Source organism: Homo sapiens, chromosome 16, assembly GCF_000001405.40.
Source record: "Homo sapiens chromosome 16, GRCh38.p14 Primary Assembly".
Lineage (NCBI taxonomy): Eukaryota > Metazoa > Chordata > Mammalia > Primates > Hominidae > Homo > Homo sapiens.
Genome location: NC_000016.10, coordinates 13,876,836 through 13,903,191, shown reverse-complemented (window position 1 = coordinate 13,903,191; position 26,356 = coordinate 13,876,836). Strand labels below are relative to the sequence as shown.

General features: G+C 43.0%; 1 long non-coding RNA gene across 1 annotated transcript in view; it reads left to right on the top strand.

The window, feature by feature from the left end:
- The window catches only part of LOC105371093 (uncharacterized), a 43,766-nt gene extending 23,422 nt beyond the window's left edge, over window positions 1-20,344 (top strand). Inside the window, exons 3-4 of the long non-coding RNA XR_007065000.1 lie at window positions 4,672-4,797; window positions 20,307-20,344. This is a non-coding gene — a long non-coding RNA (uncharacterized LOC105371093). The remainder of the gene's footprint in view (window positions 1-4,671; window positions 4,798-20,306) is intronic.
- Window positions 20,345-26,356: the final 6,012 nt, after the last annotated feature.

The window sequence follows — 26,356 nt, the reverse complement described above, 5'->3', positions numbered from 1 at the left end:
AACTGAACTGCTAGAGAGATAATGAATCAAATAATATGTTACAGGACAAAAAAGGACACTATCTTCAAGTGCAAAATAAAACAGCAAAACCTAAAGCTGTAAACAGAAAACCCTTTTGCGCAACACAATTTCGAGCTATTGTCTGTGAAAACCCTGGCATTAAAAATCAAGGGAAAATAGAAAAGATAAAGAGCTCACAAATTGTAGGTTTACATTAACTACAGGGATCTTTGCCAGGACTAAAAGTCCATGTTAGCAACTTAGCAAGGTTTCTTCTAATGGCAGACATGGAGGGGCACACTGCCAAAAAAGAAAAAGAAATAGGCAAAAGGTACAGTTCAATATGTCTGGGAAAGGAATTCTTGGCTTACAAAAGGAAAAAAAAGAATGACTCAGTTCCCAGTGGCTTGTTTTCTTTATAGTCTCTAAGAAGAAAATTATCCAAATATATTAGCAGTGAGCTAGCACAGTGGTTCTCAAAGTGTGGTCCCCGGAACATCAGCATCAACATCAGCATCAGCACCCATAGGCTGTGTCAGAAATGTGGATTCTCAGCCTTCACCTCAGCACAACCAAATCAGGAACTCTGAGGATGGAACGCAGCAATCTGTATTTTAACAAGCTCTCCACGTGACTCTGATCCACATCAAAGTTTGAGAACTGAGTCTGTGAATTTGGAATAAAATCTTTAAGCTAGGCATTACTGTACCAATTATAATAAGATTCAGCTGCATATTAAAGAAAACTAAAATAAGAGTGGCTTACATAAGATAGATGTTCATTTTCCTTGTACAGATGGGTAACAGCTGGTAGGGTGGCTTCATGATCATCAAAGACTTAGGCTCCTTATAATTTTTTTTTCTCCACTAAAAGGTAGGCTTTTATATTCAAAGTGCCTCATAGCTCAGTATGGCTGCTGGAGCTCCTGCAATCACATTGGTTTTTCCAGACCGGAAGTAGGAGGCAAAGGGGAAAGAAAAAAGGCATATCTCCTAGTTGGCTCAGACTTTTTAATAAACTCCCTGGAAACTCCAGCCAACAACTTTTGCGTGTAGAACATTGATTAACCCCATTGATTAAAGAGGCCAGGAAATACTCCTTTAGCTGGTAACACTACTCCGTGAAATGAGGTTCTTTTAGTAGAGGGGAGAGAAAGTGAAAATTAGTAGGTGACTAGCAAGCTCTTCAGTAGTTGCAAACTGACTCAGCCTTAGGGCTTTGCAAGTTGGGGAGAGGGAGGTGTATCCAGGGAGGGGAGGTCTTTCCCTTTAAGAAGATGAGGAATCTCATTGCCCTTTTCTCAGGGAGGTCGTAAAAATTTGTAAGAGATTTGGAGAATGAGTTTTTGGGGAGGGCTGCAGAGCTGAGATTGAACAAGCAGATTAAGGGGAGGGAGATGGCACAGGAAAGATTTTACTACTTGTGATGGGTCCATGTCTTTCTTTTCTTTTCTATTTTTGAGATGGAGTCTCACTCTGTCACCCAGGCTGGAATGCAGTGGCACGATCTTGGCTCACTGCAACCTTTGCCTCCTGGGTTCTAGTGATTCTCCTGCCTCAGGCTTCTTAGTAGCTGGGATTACAGGTGTGCGCCACCACACCCGGCTAATTTTTGTATTTTTAGTAGACATGGGGTTTCGCCATGCTGGCCAGGTTGGTCTCGAACTCCTGACCTCAAGTGAACTGCCCACCTCGGCCTCCCAAAGTGCTGGGATTACAGGCGTCAGCCACTGCACCTGGCTGGTCCGTGTCATTAGATTACTCCCTTTTGCAACTCAGAGGAAACCCTTAGCAGTGACGACTTTAAACTTTTCTTTCTTGTATTGAGTATTCCTTCTGCAGCTGACCCAGCCCTTCAGTACAGAATGTCACAATACAGTACCGGCACACATTGTGGTTGTGGCCTTGGGGAGAATGAATGACAGTGCAATAAGGGGAAGATAAATGTTTCAGAGCCGAGCAGACTCAAGAGTGATCATCATGCACCCACTTACTTATGGAAAAAGTATGCAGCATGTATCTTCTATGATACATGAGATAATTTTAGATGGTAAATAGAAATAACATTAATAGCATCAAAAAACAATGAGTAACTAAATCAGCTGGGAGGCACACCCTTTTTCTCTTCTATTCATTCTCTTTTTTTCCTCCTGGTATATGGATGTGATATTTGGAGCTCCAGCATCTATTTTGTGACCATGAGACAACATTGAAGATGGAAGCCATATTTTAAGAATAGCAGAGTAGGGCAGGGCATGGTGGCTCACCCCTGTAATCCTGGCACTTTGGGAGGCAGAGGTGGGCGGATCACCTGAGGTCAGGAGTTCGAGACCAGCCTGGCCAACATGATGAAACCCTGTCTCTACTAAAAATATGAAAATTAAGCCGGGCACAGTGACTCACGCCTGTAATCCCAGCACTTTGGGAGGCCGAGGTGGGCAGATCACGAGGTCAGGAGATCAAGACAATCCTGGCTAACACGGTGAAACCTCGTCTCTACTAAAAAAAATACAAAAAATTAGCTGCATGTGGTGGCATGCACCTGTAGTCCCAGCTACTCGGGAGGCTGAGGCAGGAGAATCACTTGAATCCCAGCTACTTGGGAGGCTGAGGTAGGGGAATCACTTGACCCCAGGAGATGGAGGTTGAAGTTAGCTGAGATCATGCTACTGCACTCCAGCTAGGACCACGGAGTGAGACTCTATCTCAAAAAAAAAAAAAAAAAAAAAAAAAGAGGCTGGGAGTGGTGGCTTACACCTGTAATCCCAGCACTTTGGGAGGCTGAGGCGGGCGGATCACGAGGTCAGGAGATCGAGACCATCCTGGCTAACGGGGTGAAACCCCATCTCTACTAAAAATACAAAAAATTAGCCAGGCGTGGTGGGGGGTGCCTGTAGTCCCAGCTACTCGGGAGGCTGAGGCGGGAGAATGGTGTGAACCCAGGAGGCGGAGCTTGCAGCGAACCGAGATCACGCCACTGCACTCCAGCCTGGGTGACAGAACGAGACTCTGTCTCAAAAAAAAAAAAAAAAAAAGAAAAAGAAAAAAAAAGAGAAAGAATAGCAGAGTAGAAAGACTGCAGAAACTTAATTTTTGTGATATACATCTACCTCTAGCCTTGGCTTGTCTACTTCTGGACTTCTTTCATATGTGAGAAAAATAAACCTCTAATTTGTTGAAGCCACTGTTATCTTTTTGGGATTTGTCACTAGCTGATAAATGTAATTCGTAACTGTTGTGGAGACATCTTGTGTTATTTAAAAGTGTGGAATGTTTATAGGCAAATAGTAACCATTACTCACTGTTGTAATTAATGTGAAAAACTGCAGTGTTTTTATTAAGAGGGAATTAAGCTTCAGCATTAAGCTAGTAATATCAATAAGAGGCATTTATAGTAGCTCTGAAGATAGCTGCAAGCTGTCATTACCCTAATAGGGTACAACACTCGCTGCCACAGCCGGGATCTTTTATCTTTTTTTTTTTTTTTGAGACAGCGTCTCGCTTTGTTATCCAGACTGTAGCGCAGTGGTGTGATTTTGGCTCCCTGCAACCTCCACCTCCTGGGTTCAAGTGATTCACCTGCCTCAGCCTACAGTAGCTGGGATTACAGGCGCTCACGTCACCACGCCTGGCTAATTTTTATATTTTTTAAGTAGAAACAGGGTTTCACGATGTTGCCCAGGCTGGTCTCGAACTCCTAGCCTCAAGTGATCCGCCCGACTTGGCCTCCCAAAGTGCTGGGGTTAGAGGCGTGAGCCAGCACTCCTGGCCCACAGCCAGGATCTTGGTAGCAGCTGTAGGATCAGTGCCACCTGATTCGGTGGTCGTTTGAGAGGCCACGCAAACTTAGGTGAGGGTAATAACACACATGCTGCATTTAATGCATAAAATAAGATGATTTATTTTAACAAAATGGTGCACATCAATGGGTGAACCCAGGCCATAGCAGCGCCTTGAGTAGGGATGCACAGCAAACTGACTCTGGGAATAAAAATGTGATGGGAGAACTTGTATGTATCCAAGCATTGTGATCTGCTTTATTCTCTTTTTTTTTTTTTTTTTTTTTTTTTTTTTTTTTTTTTTTTTGAGACGGAGTCTCATTTTGTTGCCCAGGCTGGAGTGCAGTGGCATGATATCGGCTCACTGCAACTTCTGCCTCCCAGATCAAGCAATTCTCATGCGTCAGCCTCCGGAGTGGCTGGGACTACAGCACCTGCCACCATGCCCAGCTAATTTTTGTATTTTTAGTAGAGGTGGGGTTTCACAGTCTCTACTAAAAATACAAAATTGTTGTATTTTTACAACAATTTTGGCCAGACTAGTCTCAAACTCCTGACCTCAAGTGATCCACCCACCTTGGCCTCCCAATGTGTTGGGATTACAGGCGTGAGCCACCCTGCCCAGTGTGGAATTTGCATTTCTAACAAGTTCTCCTAGGTGCTGGTGCTGCTGCTAACTCTGGTCTGGGGACCACATTTTGAGAACGATTGTATTAAGCCAAGTCCCATAGTGGAGTTATTTTTAGATGAAAAAGATCCATTTGAGCTGTTTACCCAGATCAAATTAATTAGGTACTTGTCAAATCTCCTCATTTCACTTTCTGAAGTGTAAAAATGAAATTAACCTCTGAAATGACTTTCCTTTTATTCCTCCCTCTCTCCCATGTTTTGAGCATTACTGAACCAGGCACAAAGGAGTGTAGTAAAAGGACATTTCTTACCCTGAGCCTGGAAAGGGCATGGCATTTGCAGCCTGGCAGAGTCTGATTTTCACCCCATTCCATCCCATCTGACTTCATGTGAGTATTTTGGTCTTAATGCCCTCATCTGAAACATGTTAACGATTTCCTATCCTAGACATCAAGCTGATGCAGTTATTAAAAAAGGAGACAGACGAAGCGAAGAGAACCTCATGCATCCCCTTGGAAAGAGAATTTTTTTTTCTTTCTTCTTGAGAAAATTCCTATAGCACTGATTCAAACTTTTTTCTTCCTTCTCTGCTTTTTTTTTCTTTTAAAAATGCTACCACAAAGCTGATATATATAAAAGCAAAATCTGGAGTTTTTTAATCATTGATTTGAGAATTATGCCATGAAGGGGAATAGAAAATAGGGTCTCACTAAAGAAGTGTGCTCATTTATTGACCTTGAATAGTCAAAGTTAACCATGATGCCAGTGTAGCAGTGTTCAGTGACCCAGCATCGAGTAAAGCCACGGGTAGGAAATTACCATTCCATTGTCAGTTACTTAAAAACAAATTGCTTATATTATTTGTTGTTTCCTGCAGCAGTTTATAAAGTAACAACTCAAATTCATTTTACTTCCTTTAGAAGATCTTGACCCTGGGACTACATTAAATATTTCTTTAAAAGGACAGGAGGGAGAATAAAATAAAAATATACAGCGTCCCAGTGTTATCTGAAAAATTCCTGCAGATTTTCTGAAATGCTTGAAGAATTCATAACCTTAGGCACTCCAGTATTAATAATTAATATGATTTGCAAGTTCTCTCCCTATTTCATGTTTTGATTAGAAGCTCAGTCTGACCTCTAAGTCATGTCCAGTTCACAATAAAATATGAAGCTGTTGTTGCTTCATTTGCTATCGGACACATCTCTGCTTCTTAATCATTTAAAACACTCCCAAACAATCACAGGTTTTCTAAAACAAAGAACAAGTCATCATGCACACAGGCCTCAGGGCAGAGACAGCATTCTCTGTGTGTTAGCGTATTTAATTATCCCATTTTGGGGAAGATAATCCATTTTAATGTTCTTACACCCTGTTCCCCTGCTTTATTATTTTCTTTACTTCAAGGATCAACTTGACAACTGTTTTTCTTCAAAACAAGGTTTATGGTATTCCTCCGAATGTGTCTGATTTCATGGCCTTCTGGGTTACTTTCATGTATTATGAATTTCTCATTAGCAGTGTTTATTAGATGGAAACTTACAACTCCTTGCAGTATTATTCTGCGGAAATTGTTGCTGGGTTTTTTTTAAAAGAGAAAAAAGTATTAATGTTTTCAGAGGAAGCCGAGGAATAGTTTGCTATTAGTTTGCAGCAGTCCCCAACTCATATTCATTCCCTCCCTCCCTCTTCAAAATCCTAAACCCATTGATGAGACTAGGGTTTGAGCACAGAGGTCTTTTCTCTAGACTTAGAATAGGGGGCCTTGCAAAACTGCCTAGGCTTCTGGGCTAACACCAAACCAGCAGGGGGAGCTAGCAAATTTTGGAACAGAAATTGCATTTGGCTGCAAGTAACAAACTACTGTTTCATAAAATAGTGGCTTAAGCAGTTTACGAAGTGGCCTAAACAAACACAAAGAAGTCCAGAGGCAGGCAGTCTAGAGCTGGTGTGCCAGGAACACAAAGTTATCAGGGACTTCTGGCTCTTTGTATCTCCATCCTCACTTTATGGCTTCGAAGATCAAGGTCACCTCATAGTCCCATACAGCTACCAGTGCACCAGCCATCACATCTGCATTCTTTTCAGCACGAAGGTTGAAAGGGAGCTTTTCCCAGCCCAAGCAACTCCTTTTGAAAGATCTACCTCAGAAGTCACCTGTAACATATTTATTTGAATGTCACTAGGCAGAACTTAGTCATATGGCCTTATCTAGCTGAAACAGAGACTGAGAAGTTTAGCCATTTTGTAATGGAGTTGTGTTACTAAGGAGGAAGGGGAGATGAATACTTGGAGACACTAGCAGTGCCTGTCAAAGGTCTGGAGAGGATAGGGGACAGAAGCAGGATGAGGTTCATGTGTGCTCAGTGGCTCAGTTATCATGGACCAGACACCATGTGCCCTTCATCCTCCTTGATGCAATGGGACAATGTAAAACCAATAGAACCTTATCACAGCCATGCGAGGGGGCAGAGAAGCACCTGAATCCTTCAGACCGTAGGAATGGGACTTGACATAGAAATTAAACAGAGTTATAGAAAATAAGAAAGCTTTGGTTTCTGAAACACTAGTTTATGGATTGAGAGTTGTAGTCTTTAGGGATAGAGTATCTAAAAGTTCAAGCTTTGATTAAAAAATACATACATATATTTTAATTAAGCGAATTAAGCGGTTTACAAAGTGGCCTAAACAAACACAAAGAAGTCCAGAGGCAGGCAGTCTAGAGCTGGTGTGCCAGGAACACAGAGTTATCAGGGACTTGATTAATTTTCTTGTTGTAAAAATGCAACATGTTGGAAGGCTTGAGCGGCATTTTTCTAAAATGATCCATTATTTGCTGAGGGCAGGGCTGATCCTTTTATCTCTGCAGAGTATCTGGCAAACATAGGCACTTCATGTATATTTGTTAAAAGCATAAATGATAGTAATCTAAGAGATTTTGTCCCCTGTGTTTTCATATCTATTTGTGTGCTTCTATATTAGTTAGAACTCCTTCAATTCCAAGTAATAGAAATTGAAGTCAAAATGCTTAAAATTGTAATTTATTGGCTCTTATAAACAATGGGCTTCAGGCATGGCTTGATCTAGGGGTTCAGTGATCTCATTAGAACAAAGTCTTGTGCTCTTCACTGAACTTTTATATATATTGATTCTATTTTCAGATAGACTATTCCCTCGTGGTGGCAGAATGACTGTTAGCAGCTCCATGAAAACTTATCTGTTTAGCTTTGAGTATAGTGGGTAAGAACACCTTTTCTCAGGCACCAGCAACAACTATCCCTCATTGAAGTCTCTATTGGCCTTGATTGTTCTAATTTGGGATCAGGACCCGGCTCAGAATCCATCGTTAGGATGTGGCAATCTAATTGGCCAGGCTTTCAGACTCATGTCCACTGTGTCGGTCAGGATTCAGTCAGGAGACAGAATACCATACCGGTTATTTTAACATGAATAATTTAATAGAGGTAGGCCAAATCTAGTCCATGGCCTATTTTTTTGTAAATGAAGTTTTATGGGAACGTAGCTACAACCCTACATTTAAGCACTGTTTATGGTTGATTCTGTGCTAAAATGGCAGAGCAGAGTAGTTGCAACAGAGAGACTGTGTGACCTGCAGGTCCTAAATATTTACTATCTGCCCCTTTACAGAAAAAGTTTACTGACTCCTTATTGGATATAGGAAGTGACAGTGACATATTGAAGCCCTGAAAAGAAATAAGAAAACAGTAAGATATCATGAAGGAATATACTGCAGGAAGCTATCTCTAGGGCAGAAAGAACAAAGAGAAAAGATTGGAATTATTAAAACTTAAAAGTTTGGAGAAGAGGCCCCACAGAGTAGAAACTTCAGACCTCCAAGGAAGGAATAATTTGATGCTGGTTTTGGTGACGTTGAGAGGGTTCAATTAGGCTGGTCCCATGGGTATTGAAAACACTGCAAATTGTGATCAACTGCTGTTTCTGGAATAAACTATCACTGCTGAGGCAAAAGAGCATTGCTGTGGGTGACAGTGATGAGAGAATAGGAAGTAACCATAAGAAAAAACTTCCTTTTCCAGCCTCCTGATTTTCTCAGTGTAGAGTCTCATGGGAGCAGCTGTGAAGGGCAAATACGGGTGCATCACCAAGTGGAGCATGGATGTGTGGGTTTGAAGCTGAAATAGTTCAAAAACTGGCACAATCCACTCATTAGCTACTCAGTCTTCATCCACACTCTTCTATGCATATCTGAATTTCAGCCAAGATCACAACTCTAGCCTTCCACCTAACAATATACAGCTATCTTTCATTCAAGTGAAGACACTCTCACCCTCTGCCCACAGTAAGAAGACTGAAAGTCTCAATAGTCATCGTAAGCTGATTACCTTCCCAAATCAGTCATTGTCTCAGCAGAATATTCTAACGCTTGGTGACTAAACTGTAAATTTAACTGCTACTACCAAGACTTGTGTAAGATATTGGGGGAAAAAATTAGCACACTTAGTACACACGCACACACACACACACACACACACTCCTTGAGAAAAGAAGTTATTCACAGTTGCTACAATCCTTGCTTCTATAACTGGTCACAAGTATGCAGTTGATATTATGAGTTTCTTCTACACCTGGCCTGTGCTATGTTTGTTCTCAGCCAAGACCTCAGCTGGAAGGGTTCATTACCCAGCAGTGAAATCCAAGCTTTCATTCCTGAAGGATTGGGCTTCTCAATGATCCTGTCTTTTTGTGTGTGTGTGTGGTGATTGTAGCTTTCCATGGAAGTACTGAGAGGGACTCCAGAGACCTCTGGTCCAGACACAAGCCTTCTTGCTCTTATGGTGTCATAGCAACCCTATTTCCTCCTAATGACTGGTTTCAATCTCCCTAGCCAGTAGAGGTGCATCCTGGCTACTCCCCAGCCAGTAGAGGTGCATGCTCATTAATTCAGTAGCATAAGAATTTGGTCCGTGATGGGCAGGTCTATGTAAACCCGCCCCCAAAGTCTGAGGGAGCTGAAAGGCTGAAGGAAAAGGCTTAACAATTCAGTTTCTTAGAAAGAAACATTTAATAGGGACTTATGAAAAGAAGCCATGTCTGTGTCTTGGGCAGTGGCGACACAAGATGGTGGATCCCTGCGCCGTTACTGCCCCAGACGCAGGGCTTCTGTACCATAGGGAAAGGGTGGTTCAGAAGGGACAGGCAGGACAACTGAGGTATGAGAGCATCAAGGTTTTTTGACCTAAGGCTAGAATTTATAGTAACCGCATGCTGTTACATAAGGAACAAGAGATAAACTGGAAATCTTAGAGGCCTTTTGGGAACTGCAATTAATCAGAAGTTAACATGGTTAATTAGCATCCAAGGTGGAACTGCTTTGGCCTCCATGGAAGTCAAAAATGTTTGGGTGGTAATTTCATCTTCTAATTCAATGGAATCATTCTTGTGTCCCCTGGTGCAAGCATTTCCCCCTTTAGGACTAAGATCTCCAAAGCAGCAGAGCTTAAAGTTGCCAGGATGGGAAGCAAAAAAAAATCCTCCCAAGTGGGTCATTGGATGTCATAGTGAGAGGAGCCAAACCCACTTCCACCCTTTGATTCCTGGCCCCACATAATCCGAAGTTAAAACCAGGTACTGTGATGACTCACCTGATTTTTGATTCTTGTGATGGTGCTTTTTGTTTGTGGTTAGTTTTTAAAATTTGGTGTTCTCGTGGGGGTATGGGAAGGGCGAATGGTGCAGGCTTCCATTGGCCATCTTGCTTGCCCCCTCCAATGTAATCTGGCTGTAGGATAAGCAGCATGAGAAATTGGCTGCTGAATCAAAGCACAGATTGCATCCTGTAGCTAGAACTCCATCCTTTCTGGGTGCTGTCTCCTCAAAGGCTTTGTAATGAAGCCTTCAGTAGACTATTCCTCCATTCTGTTAGGCCAGCTCGTCCTAGATGATTGAGTGTGTGGCAGAGCCAGTGAATTCCATGAGTCTGAGCCAAATGATGCATTTATGTTTTGTGAGAGGCATTTCTTGTTCAGGAGCAATGTAGGGGCAATGTTGTGACACTGAATAAAGCATTCCTTGAATTCATAAATGGTGGTGCTAGCAAAAGCATTATGGAGATAGAAGATGAACCTACATACAGAACATGTGTCTGTTTCAGTGAGGATGAATCTCTGCCCCTGCTGTGATGGAAGGGGTCCAACGATTCCTCAGGTTTCCTGTGATGGAAGGGGTCATTCTGCCGCTGGTGGTTGGCTGGTCTCCCCAGGGAATGATGCAATGGTGAGCTTCAGTGTTGGTCTCTGCTGCTGGCAGATTTGGCACCTGGTTAGCCTTGGTCGGGGAAAGTCCATGTTGTTGAAGCCATGCATGGCCTCCATCCCTGCCACCCAGGGCAGTTTGCATGTGGATCCAAGCACTGGGATGGCTGGCGAGAAAAGCTGACCAACATCTATAGAGCTTGCCACATAGATTATTAAATCTCTACTAAAAATACAAGAAAAAAAACAGCCGATCATGGTGGTGGGCGCCTGTAGTCCCAGCTACTCAGGAGGCTGAGGCAGGAGAATGGCGTGAACTTGGAAGGCAGAGCTTGCAGTGAGCTGAGATTGCACCACTGCACTCCAGCCTGGGCGACAGAGCGAGACTCTGTCTCAAAAAAAAAAAAAAAAAAAAAAAAAATTTCTGTTACAGGGTTTTGGAAAATTTTTGGGGGAAATACCTGCAAAATACTTAATCCAGTGTCAGGCACATCATAAGCCTTATACGCAAAGCTAATATTTTTTTTGTGCATATTTATATGTCATTTTTTTCAAGTGTGTTAAACAGTAGTATTGTAGTATCTTCATATAAAAACCAGACTGTAAAAATCACTCCTGGACACACACATCTACACACTCATACATATATATATTTTTGTGAGTGGGATCTTTTTATTTTGTTGGTTTATGAAGTAGCTATTGATTTCTGTGTATTTATCTTATATTTAGCCATCTTACAGAACTCGTATTCTAGTATTTCCTAAGCTAATTATCTTGGTTTTCCTGGTTGTTCAATCATATTGTCTGCACACAGTTTATTTCCTTTTCAAACTATTATTTGTGAATTACCTTGAACTTGAATTTTTTGGGAGGATAATATTTATCCTTGGAATCTAAGCCGGAATTACATATTATAAATAGACAGTTTGATGGGGCAGCAATCCACAGTTTAAATTACCTCTGCAGTTGAATAGGATAATTGAGATGATTGCATAGGCCATTTGAAATTAAAAGTTGGATTTTTAATCTGCTAGGTAGAATAGAAAACTGGTTCTTATGTGTGTGATTCAATTTAATGGACTGTTTATATGATCTCCACGTTCCACATGTGAAACCATGCATTAATTTCATCTTGAACTGAGGACAGGTTAGAGAAGTTTAAATACACACCTCTTCTTCTCTTGCCTTACTGTTGATTTGGAATGTAGAGTGGATCTTGATTTCTAGAAATGCAGATTGACACTCACTAAACATTACATGTGTTTAAACTAAAGAGAAGCATACAGAGGGCATCTGGTACAGTTCCTGGCACTTCCACATCTATAAATCACAGGAAGCAAAATTATGTAAGAAACATAGCTTTCCCTCTCCTGGCTTTTATTTTTTGTTTTTATTTTTAGAGACGGGGTCTCCTTCTGTAGCCCAAGCTGGAGTTCAGTGGTGTGATCATGGCTCAGTGCAGCCTCAACCTCCTGGGTTCAGGGGATCCTCCCATCTCAGCCTCCTGAGTAGTTGGGACTAGACGGGATCTCCCTCTGTAGCCCAAGTTGGAGTGCAGTGGTGTGATCATGGCTCACTGCAGCCTCAACCTCCTGGGCTCAGAGGATCCTCCCATCTCAGCCTCATGAGTAGTTGGGACTACAAGTATGCACCACCATACCTGGCTAATTTTTTATTTTTGTAGGGGTCTCGCTATGTTGCCCAGGCTGGTCTTGGGCAACATACCCTCCTACCTTCTTGGCCTCCCAAAGTGCTAAGATTGCAGGCATGAGCTGTGGTGTCTGACGCATCTTCTATCTTTTAAAGGCATATATCCAAGTGGTCAGTATTTTCAATTTAAGTTCTTACCATGGCTTTCCAGGCCTACAAGGTCCACCTCCTGTCTCCACCTTCCTGTTATTTTCCTCCATCTCTCTTCACTCCAATCCTAAGACCTTGGTTTTCCTTAAGCCTTTTCACTGGCTGCTCCTTCTGCCTGGAATGCTCTTCTCTTCATAGTCACATGGCTGTCTCCTTGGCTTCTTCTAAATCTTTGCCCAAATGGCTGCTCATCAGAATTGAGGACTTCCATGACCACCTTAAGTTATCATTCCCTGGCTTATCAACCACTCTCTATTCTCTTCTGCTGTTCATTTTTTCTGTATAGTCTTTATCACTAGCTGACATATTTTATATCGATTTGTTCATATGTTTGTTGTTGCTTTCCTACCTCCTTTCTACACACACTGGAATGTTAGCTCTATGAGGGTAAGGGCTGCTCAGGCCTTACTCTCTCCTATATCTCCTGTGCCTAGAATATTGCCTGGTACATAGTGGGTGGTTAATACATATTTTCTTTTTTTTTTCCTTTTTAGTATTTATTGATCATTCTTGGGTGTTTCTCGGAGAGGGGGATTTGGCAGGGTCATAGGACAATAGTGGAGAGAAGGTCAGCAGATAAACACATGAACAAAGGTCTCTGGTTTTCCTAGGCAGAGGACCCTGCGGCCTTCTGCAGAGTTTGTGTCCCTGGGTACTTGAGATTAGGGAGTGGTGATGACTCTTAACGAGCATGCTGCCTTCAAGCATCTGTTTAACAAAGCACATCTTGCACCACCCTTAATCCATTTAACCCTGAGTTGACATTGCACATGTTTCAGAGAGCACGGGGTTGGGGGTAAGGTTACAGATTAACAGCATCCCAAGGCAGAAGGATTTTTCTTAGTACAGAACAAAATGGAGTCTCCTATGTCTACTTCTTTCTACACAGACACAGTAACAATCTGATCTCTTTCTTTTCCCCACATTTCCCTCTTTTCTATTAGACAAAACTGCCATCGTCATCATGGCCGGTTCTCAATGAGCTGTTGGGTACACCTCCCAGACGGGGTGGCTGCTGGGTGGAGGCGCTCCTCAGTTCCCAGATGGGGTCGAGGTCGGGCAAAGGCGCTCCTCTCTTCCCAGTCGGGGCAGCGGGCAGAGGCACTCCTCACTTCCCAGACGGGACAGCCAGGCAGAGATGCTCCTCACCTCCCAGACGGGGCGGCCGGGCAGAGGTGCTCCTCACTTCCTAGACGGGGTGGCGGCTGGGCAGAGGCTGCAATCTCAGCACTTTGGGAGGCTAAGGCAGGCGGCTGGGAGGTGGAGGTTGTAGCGAGCCGAGATCATGCCACTGCACTCCAGCCTGGGCAACATGGAGCACTGAGTGAGCGAGACTCCGTCTGCAATCCCGGCACCTCGGGAGGCCGAGGCAGGCAGATCACTGGAGGTCAGGAGCTGGAGACCAGCCCGGCCAACATGGTGAAACCCCGTCTCCACCAAAAATACAAAAACCAGTCAGGCGTGGCGGCGCACGCCTGCAATCCCAGGCACTCGGCAGGCTGAGGCAGGAGAATCAGGCAGGGAGGTTGCAGTGAGCCGAGATCAAGGCAGTACAGTCCAGCCTCGGCAACAGAGGGAGACCGTGGAAAGCCGGAGAAGGAGAAAGGGGAGGGGGAGGGGGAGGGGGGGAGGGGGAGAGCTATTTTCTAAGTTCATTAATGCGCAAATGTTCCAAGCTGTAAGCACATTATTTGCGATGATGAGCAACGAAATGATCAGGCTTGATTTAGCAGAATCAGACACCAGATGCTGATATTTCCTGGGGCATACAGAGATGTTGTTTTTGAATTGTTTGTGTAGCTTTCGAGTCCACCAAGAGAAGGTCTGGAACATAAGAATAGCTGTAATTTTAATTGATAAAAAATAGGTTTGAGTTCTGCTCTTTGTGTCTCGTGTCCTTGAAACAGTGACTAGCTGGGTCCTGGTTTTCTCGTGGTGAGTGGCAGAAGTGCAAGATAATGAGCAAAAATACCTATTGCCTCTGGAAGCCTCTGCTGGGAATTGGCACGTTGTCATTTACACTCAAATTTCACTGGCCAAAGCAGGTCATATAGCCAAGCCAGTATCAGTAGGATTCCGCAATATACCCTACCCACTCTTGTGTGAGATACTGTCCTGTCGATGGGTGTGAATGTATAATTCTATTACAGGAAGGGCATGAAGAATTGTAAACAATGGTGAGGGGTAGAAACCCATGTCTAACCAACTTAAGCTAAAATAAAAGCTGGGTTTTTGGCTCACTTAAGTAAAAATCCCAGAGGAAGGTCAGGTTTCAGGTACAGGAAGAGGTTGTAGCGTTATTTGTTATACAGCAAGAGATGACTGAAACAGGCAACAATCCTCAAATTTCTTTAATGATGGAATCTTTTTGTCCTCATGGGGAAGTTTCTAAGACTAGTTTGAGCCCCTCATTGCGGAGAAATGATGGTCTGAATATCTCTCAAAGAATCCTACATAAGTATTCCTTTATTCCACAAAGCTTTTGGTGAGAGTTGGATAGAAAAAAAAACCCTACCTACAGTTCAAATTAAGTCTGATTGTTTTTTACAAAAATTGTAGGAAAACCCATAATGGTAGGAAAACCCCTTAAAATTTACATTTATTTTTTGAACTACTATAAACATGAATAGGAAGGTGAAAGAAAGGGTGAGAATCAATCATGCACTTTTGGTTTGCCAGTTTGCAAGGTTGTACATCTGGGAAGTGGTTATTGGTGTGAGTTCAGTGACTCAGTAAGGTCCGACTTGATATCTTTGCAATTCTCATGCCCTTTCCTTTGTGATCACAAGTGATTGCAGCCCAGCCATCTCATGTCTCAAATCCAGCTCTTTGTAAATTTTTTAACTTATGCCTGCGTTGTGTCACATCACCATCTCTAGCTGCAAGGGAGTCTGGGAAATCAAGTCATGGACTTCTCTAGGCTCTATAGTAGGAGATGGCAAAAGTTGGGAAGAGTGATTGGGACAGTCAATCTATTGACTCTTGATTTAAAAATTGGAATTTTTATCAACATTTTTGGCCCTTTGGAGGGCCTAAAATGGGGGAGGTAATGGCCTTCCTCTGGCCCAAATGCTCTTCCTCATGGATGTAGAAGTAGCTTATCTGGGTGCTGAGAAAGATGACTTGATGACTCCTTGTGTATGGTCAACTTCTTTGCCCTCTCTGCCTGCAGGTGGAGCATGCTTTCCCCTTTTCTTTCCTTCTGTTACCCCTGCTATGTTTTCTAGCTGCCCTGCTTAAAGCAAAAGCAAGAAGAAGCAGAAACCCTTGGTTCAAGCAAGGGGACCAGGTCCAGCTACCATTAATGAAGTTGGCATTCTGATACTTCCAATCTCCTAGTTCTTAATTGGGTCAGAATTTTGGGTGGGCAGACAAAAACACCCCCAATCCCAATACCTTGCTTTTTGTGCTTTCACAGTTTATATGACAATTTCACATACATTTATCAATAACTTCGTGAGTTTGGCATTGCAGGAATTATTTCACTCCATTTTACAGGTAAAAAAACAGTTCAGAGAGGGCAAATGAGAGACCCTCGCCACTAGTGGTGGCATAGCCAGAACATAATCCTACCCTCACTGCTTCGGTACGTGACACTGCCATCCTACAGCATCTATTCTACATGCCTTTTGTGCAGTCCCATCACTTCCGCTTATCCTGTAGTATCAGTTTTTGCATCCTGTTGTCCCTCCTGCATCCCCCTTCAGCCCAGGAGAGCAATGTCTCAGCAATCGGTCAATGCCAACATGCCAGCAATTTCCCACAGCTTTGTCGTTAAGGAGTCTGTCTTGACTTATTATTCTACATGTGTTGCTTAGGCAACATTGATTAACAATTTCTGCATGACGAGGTAATCATAGAGCCTGATGAATCTGTTCAGGGAGCAGAGGTGGCCTCTTTAGAAGGGATGAGATGTTCAGCCCTATACCAGACTGTCTGCGGGTGCCACCCTACACATTTTTAGCTTATGCTACACTGACACTGCATTTGTGTTTCCAGACTTCTAAAAGGGATATTGACTTTCAGGTTGTGTTTTTCTGCTTTGTTGTCTATGCGTACATTTTGGAGTAAGGTGTTGCCACCAAAATGTAGTAGAATAGCTTTTGGCTCTCAGTTCTAGTTTTGTCAGTGGGAAGCAACGCCTAACATACAGTTGGCTCTTAAATGTTTGTTGAACAAATGAATGAATAAATGAGCCCCTGGGTAGTAGGCTTTCTTGGTCCTGGCTGGCCACGGCTTCTTTCTCTATGTCTTTGATGTCTACATGTAGTATGAGAGTTCTAGAGTCTCCTTGATTCTACAATATTTGGGTAGCTTCCATTCACTTTGAAAAATACCTGGAAGGGGCAATAGAGCACTATGGTTAGTTCATCACCTCTGGGGTCCCATGGCCTGAGTTTGAATCGCACCTCTCACTTTCTACCTCTGTAACTATAGGCACATTTTTATTCCATCAAGCCTCAGCTTCTTCATCTGTAAAACAGGAGTTCTGTTGTCAGTGCCTACTTCATGGGTGGGGCAAGATTCAACGAATCAAAGCATGTTGAGTACTTAGCCTGGTATCCAGCACCTGGTTAAATCCCCAATAATTACCAGTTTTTATTTCTGTTTAACTCAGGACTTAAGGAAGACTACACTAAGATTAGCCGGGAATGCCTGAATCCACCTGATGGAATGAAAACTCAACAGAGTTTGCTATAGAATTAGTTCAGGTCAAATATTTACAGTAATCATGAGAGGAAGTACAGAAGGATTACCAAGACGTGGCGGTAATCAGTCTGACGTGGCTAAGAGAGCAGGGTGTACTCTTGTTGGCTTAGAGCTTGCTTCGTGTTCAACACATTCTGTTGATCTTATTTGCACTTTCCCCACCATCCTTAGATCTCCTGATCTGTGTTGGGATAGTGCTTTGCACTTGTTTGTTTTGTTTTCGGACCTTCATTCTCAGTCTTTGCTTTGTCAATTTGTCAGAATTCAGATTTCTAGCAAGCAGAACTTTATCAGCTCTATCCCCAGGGAAGTGGCTTCCCTCCAATTCACTCTGCAAAATGCCCCCTGTTTGCCCAGGAAAGTTTTCAGTTTTTCCTTTTGCTTATCTCTGCAGCTCTTAGCCTCTTAGCAAACTTGGGGCTTGCACCTTTGCAAATTTTTATTGATGCATAATTAGAAAGAGTAAAATGCACTAATTTAAATGTACAGTTTAATAAATTTTAACAAATCTTTTAAGCTATATCACTCAAATCCTTATAAGATACAGCACATTTTCATCACCCTAGAAGATCTCTCATACCCACTTTGAGCCGCCCTACCCTCCAAAGGCAACTGTTGCTCTGCTTTCTATCCTTATAGATTAGTTTTTCATGTCCTTGAACTTCTTTTGCTCAGTCTTATGTCTGTCAGATTTATCCTGTTGCATGGATTAGAAGGCCAGTCGGCTGGGCAGGGTGGCTCACGCCTGTAATCCCAGCACTTTGGGAGGTGGAGACGGGCGGATCACGAGGTCAGGAGATTGAGACCATCCTGGCTAACACGGTGAAACCCCGTCTCTACTAAAAACACAGAAAATTAGCTCGGCGTGGTGGTGGGCACCTGTAGTCCCACCTACTCGGGAGGCTGAGGCAGGAGAATGGCGTGAACTCGGGAGTCGGAGCTTGCAGTGAGCCAAGATGGCGCCACTGCACTCCAGCCTGGGTGACAGAGCGAGACTCCGCCTCAAAAAAAAAAAAAAAAAAGAAGAAGAAGGCCGGTCACGGTGGCTTACATCGAAATCCCAGAACTTTGGGAGGCTGAGGTGGGAGGATCACTTGAGTCTGGGAGTTCGAGGCCAGCTTGGGCAACATAGTGAGACACGGTCTCTACAAAAGATTAAAAGGTTAGCTGGCATGGTGGCATGTACCTGTAGTCCCAGGTACTTGGGAGGCTGAGGTGGGAGGATCACTTAAGCTAGCGAGATCAAGGCCACAGTGAGCTGTGATCATGCCACTGCACTCCAGCCTGGGTGACAGAAGGTGACCCTGTCTCAAAACAAAAACAAAAACAAAAAACGCAGAGGCCAGGTGCTGTGTCTCATGCCTGTAATTCCAGCGCTTTGGGAGGCCAAGGTGGGCGGATAACCTGAGGTCAGGAGTTTGAGACCAGCCTGCCTGGTCAACATGGTGAAACTCCGTCTCTATTTAAAACACAGAAAATTAGTTGGGCGTGGTGGCGTGTGCCTGTAGTCCCAGCTACTCGGGAGGCTGAGGCAGGAGAATTGCTTGAACCCAGGAGGCGGAGACTGCAGTGAGCAAAGATTGTGCCACTGCATTTCAGCCTGGGCAGGAGGGTGAAACTCCATCTCAAAAAAAAAAAAAAAAAAAAGAAGAAGCCTAGAACCTTTTATTGCTTAGTGGTATTCCATGATATGAATCTACTGTGCCTTATTTATCCATTCTCGTACTGGTGAACACTGGAGTTGCTACTAGTTTTAAACCGTTATAAATAAAGTTGCAATTAGCATTCTTTTACAAGACTTTTTGTGGACATATGTTTTCATTTATTTTTGTGGAAGTATTTAGGAGTGAAATTGTTGGATCGTAAAGTAAGGGAATGTTTATGGGAATTGCCAAACTCTTTTCTAGCATGGCAGTCTCATTGTGCATTTCCATGAGTTTCAGCTGCTCTGTACCCCCACCAGCTCTGATTATGGTCAGTCCTTTTTATTTTAGCCATTCTAGTGAGTGCATGGTGATATCTTATTGTGGTTTTAATTTGCATTCCTTTGATGACTAATAATATTGACCCTGTTTTTATGTGCCTTACATTTTAAGCTAATTAACATTTTTTCTATTGTCTGGAAGAGTAATTTCCCAGTTGGAGTCCAAAGTGAATGCTATTTTTCCCATGAGTCCAAATAATGGGTGTTACCTCTTTTCTTGCAGAACTCCAAAACCGTCCCCTTTCCATCATTTTCTCCCAAAGTGTCCCAGTTCGGCTCTATTTCTACATAAGTATTTATACATAGCCCTGTGCTAGCTTTGTTAAATAGGCCATAAACATGTGCTTGGTGCTTTCATTTAACGTCTTCAGGATTGCAGTTAAAATCCTTGCAGAAAAACGGTATCCGAAGTTATCTTAAGGCATTGAATATGGCCCCATTCAGAAACAGTGGCCTTCCATTAGTATGGCATTAGAGATTACGGTTGGGTGGTGGTGTTTACACTGGCTTTTACGCTGCGGTTCCTTAACGATGTTTTCCAGCTGAATGATATGATCAGGCAACATAAAAATGAAATGGTTCTTGCCCTCTTAATAGCAGAGTGAGTAATAGAATAACTAGAAGGATGATAAACCTCCGCGGAAGGAGGATGATTAAGGATGCTGATGGATGTATCAGCAGGAGAATAGAGATTCGTCTCTCACTGCGGGATGAATGCAGACCTTTTTTTCATGACATGAACTCAAGCATATAACATTCTGAAAATCAAAAACTTACATCAATCAAAGCCTGCGTGCAACGCTTCAGAGACATGGAGGGCAGGGATTTTTTTTTTGTTTGTTTCTCTTTGAGACTTTACTTGCTTGTTTAGTTTTAAATTTATGTACTAATCTATTGATGTATTTATCTCTTGTATCTAATATTTATTTATTTATATTTATCTATTTTGGAGACAGGGTCTTGCTTTGTCATCCAGGCTGGAGTGCCAGTGGCACAATCACACAGCCTTGACCTCCTGGGCTCAAGTGATCTTTCCTCCTCAGCTTCCTGGGTAGCTGGGACTACAGGTGTGCATCTCCATATCTGGCTAATTTTTTGTGTTTTTTTGTAGAGATGGGGTCCTGCTATGTTGCCTAGGATCATCTTGAACACATGGCCTCAAGTGATCCTCCTGCCTCGGCCTCCCAAAGTGCTGGAATTACAGGCATGAGTTACTGTGCCCGGCCTGTTTATTTACTTAAAATGCATGAACAGAACAAGTTACTTCTCCAGATTGGAATAAAATAGAGAATGAATTGTTTCTCCAGCTTGGGGTAAAAGATATCCCTAATATTTTAATTTTTGTAATTAGCTACCCCTCATACTTATGTTAACAACGAGTCCAATATCCTCCCTCTTCAGAGCTCCGACCTCTCTGAAGATTATACGTGAACGTGAACCCCAGGGTAAGACTTTAAGCTCTGATCAAAGGGGATACTTTGACTTTCAAATACAGGCAAAGAGAGAATTAATGATTTGGAAACTAGCTCACCTGGTGGCTTGGAACAGCTTTTGTTGGCTTCTGAGTATCCTGCCTGCCTGCAGTGCGGGCCCCCTCCATCACTCTAGCCTCTGCCTTCTGTTCAGTGATGATTTCCAGTGCTGGTCTAACCAGCCTTTCTTCACTTAACCCTGGGGCCTGGTGTTGAGGCTCTGCCACTGGTTCAGCGGTCCTCATGGTGACATGATTCCTTGCTTTGTAGCCTTGGTGTCCGTTTCCCAAGACTCACAATCCCAATGCATCCTGGAGGTACTAGCATCACCACCACCATTATCATCATCATCACCAGAGGAAGGATTGCTCTTCATTTCTCTCTTCCCAAAATGCTTCTGGTCCTCTTGACAAATTTGCCCCTGTCCTCCCCATGTCCTTCTAGTACCCTTGCCAGGTCAAGGATATCAGAAGGGGCAGCACCTGCCAGGTCACAGGGGTCCCATTATTTCCCCCAGAGGATATTGGGCGCCTGTGAGCCTGAAACCTGCCCACCTAGGACTTTGGGGAAGAGGCTAAGTGGTTCTTCCCTATAAGTCTTTTTGTGTCTACCTGGCCAGAGTAACAAACTCAGATTCTCTTACAGAAACATCCTAAGAAACAACTTACCAGGCACTCTGGTATGAAAGTAGTGCCCGTTCGTTATTGCTGATTTAAGAAATATAGGTAAACAATAAGAGAATAAACAATGAGAGAAAATTAAGCCACTCGTTCACTCTTTATTCTACCATGTGGAGGCAGCCAGTGTCAACTTTTGTTATGTATGATTTCAATCTCTTTTCCATTTACCTACACACACACACACACACACACACACACACACACACACACACACATGACTGCATTATTTGTATTGTATTGTAATGTTTTTTCCACTTAATATATTATTTTTGAATTTATTAAAGATATCTATTGAAGACAGGACATGCCTGTCTTCAGGCATGTCTAATAAAAGCTATTAGACATTTATATTATGTTTGTCCATGCAGAGATTATCCCTGGAAGAATAAAAAAAGAACCTCCAGGGAAGGAAACTACATAGATGAGAGTCAGGGGCAAGACAGAGGCTTACTTTCCAGAGCATGCTTTAAGAATCTTGTACCATGCATGTATCTATCACCTTTATAGAATAATAAATTTTGGCCAAGTGTGGTGGCACACGCCTATAATCCCAGCACTGTGGGAGGTCAAGGCAGGTGGATCACCTGAGGTCAGGAATTTGAGACCAGCCTGGCCAACAGAGTGAAACCCCGTCTCTACTAAAAATACAAAATTAGCTGGGCATGGTGGTGCATGCCTGGAATCCCAGCTATTTGGGAGGCTGAGGCAGGAGAATCACTTGAACCTGGGAGGCAGAGGTTGCAGTGAGTCCAGGTTGCACCACTGCACTCCAGCCTGGGCAACAGGAGCGAAACTCTGTCTTAAAAAAAAAAAAGAATAATAAATGTTTATTAAAAGAATAACCCCACAGACATTTCAGCTGTGGTTTAATATGTTTGCGATAGTGTTTGTAGACGAACAGTACTCTATGGTAGTAGTTGTAGGGACCATAATCTTTTTTATGTTAATTCTTTTTAAAATATTGTATTATGAGTGATTTTGAACATAAACAGAAGTAGGTAGGATAGCATAAGTCAAGGATTGGCAAATTCTTTCTGTAAGGGGCCAGATACGAAATATTTCAGGCTTTGTGGGCCAGATGGTTTCTGTTGCAACAATTCCACTCTATTGTAGCGCAAAACCAGCCAGAGAAAATCTGCAAACAAATAGGCATGGCTGTATTCTGATACAACTTTATTTACGAAAACAGGCAGAGGGCTAGATCTAGCCATTCAGCCATGGTTTGCCGACCTCTGGTATAAATAAGCCTCTACGTACCCAGACCCCAGCCCCAACTACCATCAACCCAAGGCCAGTGCTGCCCATCAACCACCCCGCAAATTACCCGGAAGAAAACTTCAGACATCATATCATTTTATTTATTTATTTATTTATTTAATTTTTTTTTTGATGGAGTCTTGCTCTGTCACCCAGGCTGGAGTGCAGTGGCATGATCTCAGCTCACTGCAACCTCTGCCTCCTGAGTTCAAGCTAGTCTTCTGCCTCATCCTCCCAAGTAACTGGGATTACAGGCATGCATCACCACACCTGGCTAATTTTTTGTATTTCTTGTAGAGACGGGGTTTCAACATGTTGGCCAGGCTGGTCTCGAACTCCTGACCTCAAATGATCCACCCATCTCAGCCTCCCAAAGTGCTGGGATTACAGGCTTGAGCCACTGCGCCCAGCCTCATTTTGTCTTCAGTGTTTTCAAATAAGGATTCATCTTTCAACATCACATATAAAAAGTCAACAAGAAGGCCTTAATATTATCAAAATCCAGCCCCTTTTAAAATTTCTAATTGTCCTATAAATGTAATACATTATTATTATTAGCAATTGTTTGTTGGGTCAGATACAAGTAAGGTCCACACAATGCTCTTAAGTCTCTTCTATATATTTTTACGTTGATTCTACTTGTATGTCTTTTAGCTGTAAATTGGGCATTTCTTAAGAGTTTAAGTCCAACACATAATACAAGATGCTCTATGTTACCTCCAAAGTATTCTGATTACAATCCGAGGAATTGCCACCAGCTGGATAATAATTCCAAAATTATGGAATCATGACCTCAACAGCAAGTCATCTGTTAACAACTGGTTGAACAAATCAAATATCCTCACGCGAAGGTATCAATAACTTCTCTTCCGTATATTTGAGCCTTCAGGCATTATGAAAGAAAAATTCATTTGCTTTGTGTCAGTCACCTCACTCCCAGGAATTTGTCCTAATAAAATATTCAGAGATAAGACCAAGACTGCTGTGATGAAGGATTTTATGGCTGCATTATTTATAAGGGTACAATATTAAAGACAACCAGAACATCCAACAATAAGGAAATGATAGTATTAATTACAATGTCGGTTCATTTACCTAGTAAAATATTAGATAATGATTAAAAATCATGTATTTATGAGAACACATGGACACAGGGAGGGGAACAACATACACTAGGACCTGTCGAGGGAGGGTGGAGGCAGGGGAGAGCATTAGGAGAAAGAGCTTATGTATGCTGGGCTTAATATCTAGATGATGGGTTGGCAGGTGCAGGAAACCACAACTGCACATGTTGACCTATGTAACAAACCTGCACATCCTGCACATGTACCCCAGAGCTTACAAAATAAAATAAAATACATAAAAATAAAAATTATGCTTTTTAGTATTCCAATCGTTTTAAGTCAATGTTCTTGACAAAATTTTTAATGAAAAAAAACAAATCTAAAACTGCATACAAATATGACCACATAACTACCTGAATGGAAAAGCAGGCCAGGCACGGTGGCTCACGCCTGTAATATCAGCGCTTTAATATCAGGGCTCTGAGGGGCCGAGGCAGGCGGATCACTTGTGGTCAGGAGTTCAAGACCAGCCAGGCCAACAGGCTGTAGTCCAGTGCATAGAGCAGCACCTGACACACTGTAGTCGCTCCATAGATATCTTTTTTTCTTTTTTAAGAGACAAGGTCCTGCTCTGTTGTCCCAGCTGGAGTAGCGTGGTACAATCATAGCTCACTGCAGCCTTAAATTCCTGGGCTTGAGTGGTACTCCTGCCTCAGCCACCCAAGTAGCTGGGGCTAAAGGCTCACACCACCACTCCCAGATAATTTTTTTAATTTTTTTATAGAGACGGGGGTCTCATCTTGTTGCCCAGACTGGTCTTAAACTCCTGGCCTCAAGCAATCCTTCTGCCCTGGCCTCCAAAAGCACTGGGGTTACAGGCATATGTGTGTATATATACACACATATATAATACACACACTCTATGTGAAAACAAACTTTATATTCTTGGTTTATTGGAAGAATTACAGGGACACAGAGGGAACAGCCAAGAAATTGAACCCTGGAGAGAGCGCGTTGGTTGGAAGTAGAGGGTAGGGTGGGAATCTTTCAATATGCTTCCCCTCCCTCCCCCATTCCAAAGAGCAAGGACAGAAAGAATTCTGCATGTTGGAGCTTGTTGAATATTTGAAGGTCCATTCTCTTCTTTAAAACAGCAAAGAAAGACAAAGATCAATTAGTAAATCCTGTTTGCTCTACTTTCAAAATGTCTTAGAATCTCAGCACTTCTCCCTGCTCTCCAACCTGGCCGAAGACCTCATCCCCTCTCAGCTGGCTGCCCTGACGGTCTCCGCGAGGCTCCTGGCTTCTACTTATTGCTTCCTGCAGTCATGGAGGAAGATATAAGGTGTTACTAGCTATGAAACCCCAGAGGAGAGATGTCTGTTGAGGATGGGTGGGGTTCAGGGAAGATGTTGGAGAGGAGTCCACATTTTAACTAGATCTTTAAAGATGAATAGGAGTTTTCCAGGTGAACTAGGGCAAGAAGGAAGATTCCAGGCAGATGGAACAACATTTGTGAAGTCAAGGAGGTGAGGAAGAAAATGGTGAGCTCAGGGGAGTTCAGAAAGTTTGTGATAGTTGCGTGTGTGTGTGTGTGTGTGTGTGTGTGTGTGTGTGAGCAGCCATAGGGGAAAAACCTGGAAAAGATAAACAGAGGCCAGTGAATGAAACTCCATACCCACAAGCTTAGATTTTATGGAGTAGACCAGGGGCTGAATACTCAAATGCCTTTGGAGGTGACACACATACGTCAATGAATGAGGATGCCTGAACATAAGAGAAAACGTGTGTGGCACAAGTGTGGTGATAAAGGACAAGACATGCCTTGGCATGAGGAAAATAAAGTGCGCAGTCATTATTCATCTTAGCCAGTGCTTGGTCCAGGGAAACCTGGGATCAATGATTGCAGATCTTAGGATTTTTAAAGAAAGGCTGAAAATCTAGATTTCTATGAGAAAACTGCAAATGCAGAACTCTTGGCAACAATTTCAAGTAAAAAAATATACTGTGGTCACTACCGTGTAGATAAGACAAAATTTGTCTGTAGGTTGGAGTCTGCCTAGGGGCCATGAGTTTGAGACGCCTGATCGGGGTGGTGGTTTATTTGGTGATTTGATCTTATTAGGGTCCTAGACTTGCTCATATGTACACTTCGTTGCCACCCTGTCCTTTCTCAGGCTGTGCCCTCTATATTAGGGTTCTCCAGAGGGACAGACCTAAGAGGATCTATGTATATAGGACATGGAGTTTATTAGGGAGAATTGGCTCACACAAGCACAAAGCGAAGTCCCACGATGGGCCATCTGCAAGCTGGGGAAGAAAGAAGCCAGTAGGGGCTCAGTCCAAGTCCAAAAGCCTCAAAAGCAGGGAAACTGACAGTGCAGCCTTCAGTCTGTGGCTGAAGGCCTGAGGGCCTCCGGCAAAGAACCTGGACTCTGATGTCCAAGGGCAAGAGGAACGGGAGGAAGCATCCAGCATGCGAGAAAGATGGAAGCCAAGAAGACTCAGCAAGCCAGCTTATCCCACCTTACTCCGCCTGCTTTGTTCTAGCCATGATGGCAGCCAATCGGATGGAGCCCACCCACATTGAGGGTGGGTCTTCCTCTCCCAGTCTACTGACTCAGATGTCAATCTCCTCTGGCAACACCCTCACAGGCACACCCAGAAACAATACTTTACCAGCTCTCT